The 9,574-nt window shown below is 44.0% G+C and overlaps 1 non-coding gene and 1 pseudogene across 1 annotated transcript, besides 1 other annotated feature; both read right to left on the bottom strand.

The window, feature by feature from the left end:
* Positions 190-249: an enhancer, noted in NCBI's record as "active region_2326". NCBI's record gives its function as "activates an Ori minimal core promoter by ATAC-STARR-seq in GM12878 lymphoblastoid cells {active_cell/tissue: GM12878}" and the evidence as "EXISTENCE:reporter gene assay evidence [ECO:0000049][PMID:35858748]".
* On the bottom strand, positions 3,522-3,882 carry RPL10P4 (ribosomal protein L10 pseudogene 4; annotated as a pseudogene).
* On the bottom strand, positions 3,938-4,072 carry SNORA70H (small nucleolar RNA, H/ACA box 70H). Its single transcript, NR_145769.1, has one exon. It is a non-coding gene; the product is annotated as a small nucleolar RNA, H/ACA box 70H (small nucleolar RNA).
* Positions 4,073-9,574: the final 5,502 nt, after the last annotated feature.

Genomic DNA, 9,574 nt, shown 5'->3' with positions numbered 1-9,574 from the left:
ACCGCCCACTCTTCTAGCTGCACCCGTGCCTCGGGACTTAGGACAAAAGAGGCCGGTGGGATCGTGTGGCCCACGTTTGCCCACCCATATCCTACTGAGGTGTTCCAGTCGTCCCGGTGGGGCACCCTTCTCTGCTGACCCTTCCTGCTGCCTCATCTAGGCAGTGGCGTGGACTGAGCCCTGGCTGGGAAGGTCTGAGTTCCAGATCTCACACCCTGCGATAGGCCAGTTGTTAGAACTGTGTGTCACCTTGGGCAAGTCGCACAAGAAACATGAATCTTCCCGAGCCTTTTTCTGCACCAGTATAATAGAGTCATAATATCTGTGTATCTCACGAAGTAATGTGAGAACTCTACCAGGTAACCTGTCTAACACACTCAGCAAACAGTGAAACCCTGCACAACTTCACGGAATTCACACTGGATCGAGCCTCGTCCCCCAGCAACTCCAGGCACGCCTATCTTTCTATTGTTGGGTTAAGGGACAGGAATCAGCACCGCGCAATTTAAGGCCTGGCTGTCCATCGCATGTCACTTCTATTTCCCTTACTGTATTGTACCGCTTATTGAGCTAGGGTATTCTCCGCTGAATACTTTGTTTCTCTTCTGTACCAGTGGGTTGCAATGGGCCTTCTATGAATAGGAGCTAATCAATGATGATGTTTTTACCGTTCAGCTAGGAAATGAGATTTTTAAAAAGAACAATGTAGGGAGTTTTTCATTAAGGGAAATAGTATTCCGTTCTGTGCTTCCTAGTTTTGTAGAGTTGAAATTATTTTATTTCATGAAATAATGCTTATGGTAGATAATGACTTTAATATTCCATGTAAGTTCAATGTCAGGGTTTTTTGTTTAACTCCAGAAACCTTAGAAACCTGCTTTTCTGTAGCATTGAGAACAGCGCTTGGTACATATTAGACGTTGAATACTCCTATCTTGAAATTATTCAGTCTTCGATGCAATGCACTTTTGCTGAGTATCTGCTAGACACCAGTTGTTAAGCTAAGTGCCTGGGGTACAGTTTGAATAAGTCCGGCACAATTCCTCTTCCTATGGTGTTCATAGCCTAACTCACATTTTAGCAGACGCACAAGAAAACAGGTCACGACACTTCCACGTGCTGCGCTTGATACGGGAAGAAAAGGATGCTGGGGAGCACAACGAAGAGATGCCTAGCCTGATCCTTCTAGTTAAATATTGACAGAGGAAGAGGATGTCATCCTTAGCTAAAGGGTAAAAGATTTTAGGCTGGGTGTGGTGGCTCACGCCTGTAATCCCAACACTTTGGGAAGCTGAGGCAGGAGGATCGCTTGAGCCCAGGAGTTCAAGATGAGGCTACGCAACAGAGGGAGACCCCCTCTCTACAAAAACATTTTAAAAAATTAGCTGGGTGTGGTGATGCACACCTGTGGTCCTGGCTACTCAGAGGATGAGGTAGGGGTATTGCTTGGGCCCAGGAGGTCAAGGCTGCAGTGAACCATGATCATACCACTGCACTCCAGCTGGGGCAACAGAGAAAGACCCTGTCTCAAAAAAAAAAAAAAAAAAGATTTTAGGAATTATATTATTTCCCCTTATAGCCTTACTTCTTCCTGGGAATACCAGGAACCTCATTTCCACTTCCGCCTCCCTGCATGGCTCCCACACTGTCTAGTTTGCCTCAGAACTGGCCTGTAGATGGCCTGTAATAACTTACAGTGGAGAGATTCAGGAATTCAGAGAATTCAGGATTGTAGAAAGGGGACACTGTGGGCACAGCCCACCTCTCCCCCAGTTCATTTTCATTATTTATTATTTATTTGTGAATGCTTAGAATGCAACATATGTTGGACATTTCAAAATAATGGCCACAAATTTTCCATTCCTGATTCTATAGATTTAAAAGTTACAGGGCCGAGTGCAGTGGCTTATGCCTGTAATCCCAGCACTTTGGGAGGCTGAGGCTGGTGAATCATTTGAACTCAGGAGTTCAAGATCAGCCTGGCCAACATTATGAAACACCATCTCTACTAAAAATACAAAAAATTAGCCGGGCAGTAGTGGCACACACCTGTAATCTCAGCTACTCGGGAGGCTGAGGCAGGAGAATTGCTTGAGCCTAGGAGGCAGAGGTTGGAGTGAGCCAACATTGCGCCACTGCACTCCAGCCTGCATGACAGAGTGAGACCCTGTCTCAAAAAAAAAAAAAAAAAACAGTAAAAAGTTACAATAAATTATTAGCAAAAATAAAAATAAAGCTACCTATAGACATGTTTTAGTTAAATTGAAGAAAACCAAGACATAAAGATCTTACAGCAGTGGAAGAAAAGAGACAGATTATCTACAAAAGAATGGCAATTAGAAATTGGACCAAGGTGCCAGGTATGTTGGCTCACACCTATAATCCCAGCACTTTGGGAGGCCAAGGCGGGCGGATCACCTGAGGTTGGGAGTTCGAGACCAGCCTGACCAACATGGAGAAACCCTGTCTCTACTGAAAATACAAAATTAGCCAGGCATGGTGGCGCATGCCTTTAATCCCAGGTACTCCGGAAGCTGAGGCAGGAGAATCACTTGAACCTGGGAGGCGGAGGTTGTGGTGAGCCGAGATCACGCCATTGCACTCCAGCTTCGGCAACAAGAGCAAAACTCCGTCTCAAAATAAGAAATTGGACCAAGGGCAGACCTCTCATTAGCAACATACAAGCTGGAGACATTATCTTCAAAATACTGAGAAAAAAAAGCCAACTGTCAAATTGGAATTGTATACCCAACTAAACTATTATTTGGTCATGTGCAGTGGCTCAAGCCTATAATCCCAGCACTTTAGGAGGCTGAGGCAGGAAGATCTCTTTAGCCAAGGAGTTCCAGACCAGCCTGGGCAACACAGGGAGACCCTGTCTTTATAAAAATAAATAAAATTAAAAATGAACTACTGTTAAAAAGTAAGGGAAAACAGATTTTTAGATAAAAATTGAGAGTATTTACCATCCATAGACTCCTAACGAAGAAATTCTAAAGGAATTCTTTTTTTTTTTTTTTTTGAGATGAAGTCTCGCTCTTGTCCCCCAGGCTGGAGTGCAATGGTGCGATCTCAGCTCACTGCAACCCCCGCCTCCCGGGTTCAAGCAATTCTCCTGCCCCAGCCTCCTGAGTAGCTGGGATTACAGGCGCCTGCCACCATGCCTGGCTAATTTTTGTATTTTAAGTAGAGACGGGGTTTCACCATGTTGGCCAGGCTGGTCTCGAATTCCTGACCTCAGGTGATCCGCCTGCCTCGGCCTCCCAAAGTGCTGGGATTACAGGCGTGAGCCACTGTGCCAGGCCAGGAATTATTTCAAGAAGGAAAGGAATCACTGAAGGAAAGAATGAGATGCAAAAAGGAACAGTGAGCAAAAAAAGTAGATAAATTTAAACAACTGTATAAAACAACACTAATAATATACTAATAATGTTTATGTGAGGGAATCAGGATAAAACTAAAATAACAGACTAAAAGTACATAAGAGAGAGGGGTAACTGAAGTTAAAGCATTTTTTTTTTTAGGTGGACAGAAAGTAGAATTTATTGGTGAGTATTAAGAGGGGGCAGCACAGTGGAAGCCCTCATGAGTGCAGGACCCGCCACTTGTCCAGAGGGCCATGATTGGGAATGTACTTGACCCATCTGGGATGAGCCGCTTCTCAGCCACCATGTCTTCAAATTAATTGGCATTGAACTTGGTGAAGCCCCATTTCTTTGAGATGTGGATCTTCTGGCGGCCAGAAAACTTGAACTTGGCCCTGCGCAGGGCCTCAATCACATGCTCCTTGTTCTGCAGCTTGGTGTGGATGGACATAACTTGGCCAATGTGAACCCTGGCCACAGTGCCCTGGGGCTTTCCAAAGGCACCTCGCATGCCAGTTTGGAGCCTACATTGGGGTAGTGTAAGGTCAGAAACATGAACATCCATCTGAAAGGACTGTCTCCAAGGTCCCTTAGAGCAACCCATACAACAAACAGGCTGCATACACTACCAAGGAAGCTGCTATTTACAGCCATTGCACACTGGGCCCCCATGAGGAAAGGAACTCAGTCGGCTTAATTGGCTGCAGGAAGTTAAAGCATTCTAAGCTCCTTGTATTATCAGATGGAGAGTAGGGATAAATGTGAGATCTTAAGTATCTGTATTAAAGTTTTAAAGGAAACCACTTAAGTAATATAAATTGAAGACAGTATATAACTCATAAGCCAATAAATGGGGAAATATGTAGTTTAAAAAAAAAAAGCAAAAAACTTGGCCGGGCACAGTGGCTCACACCTGTAATCCCAGCACTTTGGGAAGCTGATGTGGGCAGATCACCTGAGATCAGGAGTTTGAGACCAGCCTGGCCAACATGGTGAAACCCCATCTTTACTAAAAATATAAAAATTAGCCCGGTGTGGTGGCGGTAATCCCAGCTACTCAGGAGGCTGAGGCAGGAGAATCACATGAACCCGGGAGGCGGAGGTTGCAGTGAGCTGAGATTGTGCCACTGCACTCCAGCCTGGGCAACAGAGTGAGACTTTGTCTGAAAAAAAAAAAAAGGAAAAGAAAGAGTAAGACAGGATATTATTACTTCAAATCGAGGAGGCAGAAACCTGGGATGGTAAGTAGTTCACAAATACCTAGGTATAATTCACAAATACCTAGGTATAGTTCACAAATACCTAGGTATAAATTGCTTGTTAATGTTCTAGCTCACATGTTGGAGTATTATCTGTCTAATAATACAGTCTCAAAACAAATAAAATAAAAATTGGCTGAGCGCAATGGCTGATGCCTATAATCCCAGCACTTTGAGAGGCCGAGGCAGGTGGATTGCTTAAACTCAGGATTTTGAGACCAGCCTGGCCAACGTGGTGAACCCCTGTCTCTAAGAAAAATACAAAAATTAGCTGGGCATGGTGGTGCATACATGTGGTCCCAGTTACTTGGGAGGCTGAGGTAGGAGGATCACTTGAGCCCAGGAGATCAAGGCTGCAGTGAGCCGAGATCATGCCACTGCACTCCAGCCTGGGCAACAGAGCAAGACCCTGTATCAAAAAATAAAAAAATTAACAGAACACAAGGGAAAATGGACAAATTCACCAACAGAGTAAGAAACGTTACATGCCTCTCCCAGTAATTAAAGTAATTAACAGATCAGGGAATACTTTTTTTTTTTTTTTTTTTTTTTAGAGATGGAATCTTGCTCTGTCACCCAAGATGGAGTGCAGTGGCACAATCTTGGCTCACTGCAACCTCTACCTCCCAGGTTCAAGCCATTCTCCTGCTTCAAGCCATTCTCCTGCCTCAGCCTCCCAAGTAGCTGGGATTACAGGTGCGTGCCACCACGCCCAGCTAATTTTTGTATTTTTAGTAGAGATGGGGTTTCGCCATGTTGGCCAGGCTGGTCTCGAACTCCTGACCTCAGGTGATCCACCTTCCTCTGCCTCCCAAAGTGCTGGGATTACAGGTGTGAATCACTGCACCTGGCCTTTTTTTTTTTTTTTTTTTTTGAGACAGGGTCTTGCTCTGTTGTCCAGGCTGGAGTGCAGGGGCATGATCTCGGCTCACTGCAATCTACACCTCCAGGGTTCAAGCAATTCCTGTGCCTCAGCCTTCAGAGTAGCTGGGACTACAGGCATGTGCCACCATGCCTGGCTAATTTTTGTATTTTTTAGTAAAGACGGGGTTTCACCATGTTGGCCAGGCTGGGTGCCTTTCTAACTCCTGGCCTCAAGTGATCCACCCATCTCAGCCTCCTAAAGTGCTAGGATTACAGGCGTGAGCCACTGCACCCAGCCTGTATTTCTATTTACTAGTAATGAACAATGAAATTTGAAATTTAAAAACCGATACCAGGCTGGGCACAGTGGTTCATGCCTATAATCCCAGCACTTTGGGAGGCCGAGGCGGGTGGATCACCTGAGGTCAGGAGTTTGAGACCAGCCTGGCCAACATGGTGAACCCCCATCTTTACTAAAAATACAAAAATTACCCAGGTGCAGTGGCAGGTGCCTGTAATCTCAGCTATTCATGAGGCTGAGGCAGGAGAATCGCTTGAACACAGGAGGTGGAGGTTGCAGTGAGCCAAGATCACACCACTGCACACCCCAGTCTGAGCGAAGAGCGAGACTAGGTCTAAAAAAATAAAAACAAAAAAACCCCCACAAAAACAACAACAACAACAAAAAACCACCAAAAAACCCAATACTATTTACAAAGCATTTCCTAAAATGAAATATTGAGGTTTAAATATAACAAATTATATGCAGGACTATATGCTAAAATTGCAAAACACAGATAAAACTCAATCCCAATAAAAACCCCAGCAGGATTTTTCGTAGATAACAACAATCTAATTATAAAATTTATAGGGACAGGCAAAGAAACTAGAATAGCCAAAATGATGTTGAAAAAATAAACAAAATTGGAAGACTCATACTCATTTCAAAACTTACTATAAAGCAATGGTGTGACCCTGATGAAAGGTAGACACATACATCAATGGGACAGAATAGAGATTCAAGAAACAGACTTTTGACAAATGTACAAAAAATAATTGCGGGTCACATGTCTTACAATGGACTTATATCACAATATATAAAGAACTCTCAGAACTAAACAGTAAGAAAAACAATTTAAAAATGTGGCTGGGTGTGGTGGCTCATGCCTGTAATCCCAGCACTTTTTTTTTTTTTTTTTGAGACGGGGTTTCACTCTATCACCCAGGCTGGAGTGCGGTGGTGCCATCTCGGCTCACTGCAACCTCCGCCTCCCGGGTTCAAGCAATTCTCCTGCCTCAGCCTCCCAAGTAGCTAGGATTACAGGTGCCCACCACCACGCCTGGCTAATTTTTTTTGTATTTTTAGTAGAGACAGTGTTTCACCATGTTGGCCAGGCTGGTTTCAAACTCCTGACCTCAAGTGATCCGCCCATCTCGACCTCCCAAAGTGCTAGGATTAAAGGCGTGAGCCACCATGCCCGGCCTGTGATCCCAGCATTTTGGGAGGCCGAGGCGGGCAGATGGCTTGAGTTTAGGAGTTCAAGACCAGCCTAGGCAACATGGTGAAAACCTGTCTCTACAAAAAAGTACAAAAATTAGCCAAGCTTGGTGGCATGTGTCTGTAGTCCCAGCTACTCAGGAGGCTGAGCGGGAAGGATTGCTTGAGCCCAGGAGGTGGAAGTTGCAGGCGGGAGCCAAGATTATACCACTGCACCAATGCTCCAGCATGGGTGATAGAGCCAGACCCTGTCTCAAAACAAAACAAAACAAAAACAAAAGCATGAAAGATTTGAACAGACACATCACTAAAAAAGACACACAGATGGCAAACAGATGAAAGGATGGACATCATTAGTCATTAGAGAAAGGAAAATTAAAACCACTAGCACCTATCGGAATTGCTAACATAAAAAAAAAAATGGCACTACCAAGTGCCAAGGATACACAGCAGCCAGAACCCTCATAGGTTGCTGGTGAGAGCGTAAAATGATACAATTTGGGAAACAATTTGGCATTTTCTTATAAAATTAAACATATACTTGCCTTACAACCTAGTGATCCTATTTATTTTATCCAAGATAAATGAAAACATGTTCACACAAAAACCAGTAAGTAAAGGTTTATAGCAACTTTATGAATAATCATGAAAAATTGGAAATAACTCCAATGTCCTTCAACTGGTGAAGAGATGAATAAACAAGAGTACATCTGCACAATGGAATAAAAAGGAATAAATGATTGATTCACATACCATCATGAATGAATTAAATGCACTTTGCTAAATGACAGAAACTAGATCCAAATACTACATGTCGTAAGATTCCATTTATCTACTGAAAAGATAAAACTACAGACAAAAAACACACCAGTAGTTGCCACGGGTTGGAAGGAGTAGGGAGAGGGGTTGGCTATAAAAAGGCAGCATGGGCCGGGAACAGTGGCTCACACCAGTAATACCAGCCCTTTGGGAGCCCAAGGTAGGAGGATTGCTTGAGCTCAGGAGTTCGAGACCAGTCTGGGCAATATAGTGAGACCTGGTCTCTACTAAAATTAAAAAAAAAAAATTAGCTGGGCATGGTGGCACATGCTTGTAGTCCCAGCTACTCAAAGGGCTGAGGCAGGAGGATTGCTCAAATCTGGGATGTCAAGGCTGCAGTGAGCCCTGATCACACCACTGCATGCCAGCTTGGGCAACAGAGCAAGACCCTGTCTCAGAAAGAAAAGAAAAGAAAAGAAAAAGGCAGCATGAAGACATTTTGGGAGTGATGTGATTGTAGTTTAAGATTATCTGTGTGAAACTGTGGTGGTGGGTAGCCATCTCTAAGCATTTATCAAAATTAACTGAACTGTACCCCATAGTGAATTTTACTGAATGTAATTTAAAAATCCACCAAGATGTGGAGAGAAAGATGGAATGAAGTCTGGGGAAATGAATACAATCACATTGCAAATGAATTGCATAACCACACTGAAGAGAGTGGGGGAGAAAGGAGTATAATTAAATAGCTTTGGAACATGTTTTGAATAGATACTGAAGACTGAAAACAACTGTGTACAAACACTGTTCTAGCTGGCAAATCCATTTCTCAGAGCTATGATTTACTAAGTCCAAAATATATGTAACCAGGATTGAACAAATGAGCAAATTATTATAATGAGAAGCCAGGTTTCTTGCTGTTACAACTAAGAGAGACAGCTAGAATGAATCCTGTGGTGCCAGATTGAAGTTGGAGGGACTTAGTTTTTGTTTTATAACACAAGGACAGATACAGAAATAAACAGAAGTTTATGTGCATGGATTATATACTACATATTTCCTAGCTTTATGCACTGAAAAGGACTAGAATATGTCAAACATAGGGAAAAGGAGGGAAAATATCCAATAATTATTTGTCTTATTAGCTAAAGATGTTAGCCATTGTCAATTTTCTTGTTTTGTTTCTGTTTTTGAGACAGAGTCTCTCGCTCTGTCACCCAAGCTGGAGTGCAGTGGCGCGATCTCAGCTCACTGCAAGCTCCGCCTCCCAGGTTCACGCCATTCTCCTGCCTCAGCCTCCCAAGTAGCTGGGACTACAGGCGCCCGCCACCACGCCCGGCTAATTTTTTGTATTTTTAGTAGAGATGGGGTTTCACTATGTTAGCCAGGATGATCTCAATCTCCTGACCTTGTGATCCACCCGCCTCGGCCTCCCAAAGTGCTGGGATTACAGGCATGAGCCACTGCACCCGGCCCTCAATTTTCTTGTTTTTGAGACAGGGTCTTGCTCTGTTGCCCAGGCCGGAGTGCAGTGGTGCGATCTCAGCTTACTGCTCCCTCCATTTCCCAGGATCAAGGAATCCTCCTGCCTCAGCCCCCTTGAGTAGCTGGGGCTACAAACATATGCCACCATGCCCAGCTAAATTTTTTGAATTTTAGTAGAGACAAGGTCTCATCCATGATCTAACAGACTGAATAGAATTTATTATTATTATTATTTGAGGCCAGATGCGGTGGTTCATGCCTGTAATCCCAGCACTTTGGGAGGCGGAGGCGGGCAGATCACCTGAGGTTGGGAGTTCGAGATCAGCCTGACCAACAAGGTGAAA

Source organism: Homo sapiens, chromosome 1 (genome assembly GCF_000001405.40).
Source record: "Homo sapiens chromosome 1, GRCh38.p14 Primary Assembly".
NCBI lineage: Eukaryota > Metazoa > Chordata > Mammalia > Primates > Hominidae > Homo > Homo sapiens.
The sequence above is the reverse complement of the archived record's forward strand: the minus strand, read 5'-3'. Positions and strand labels throughout refer to the sequence as shown.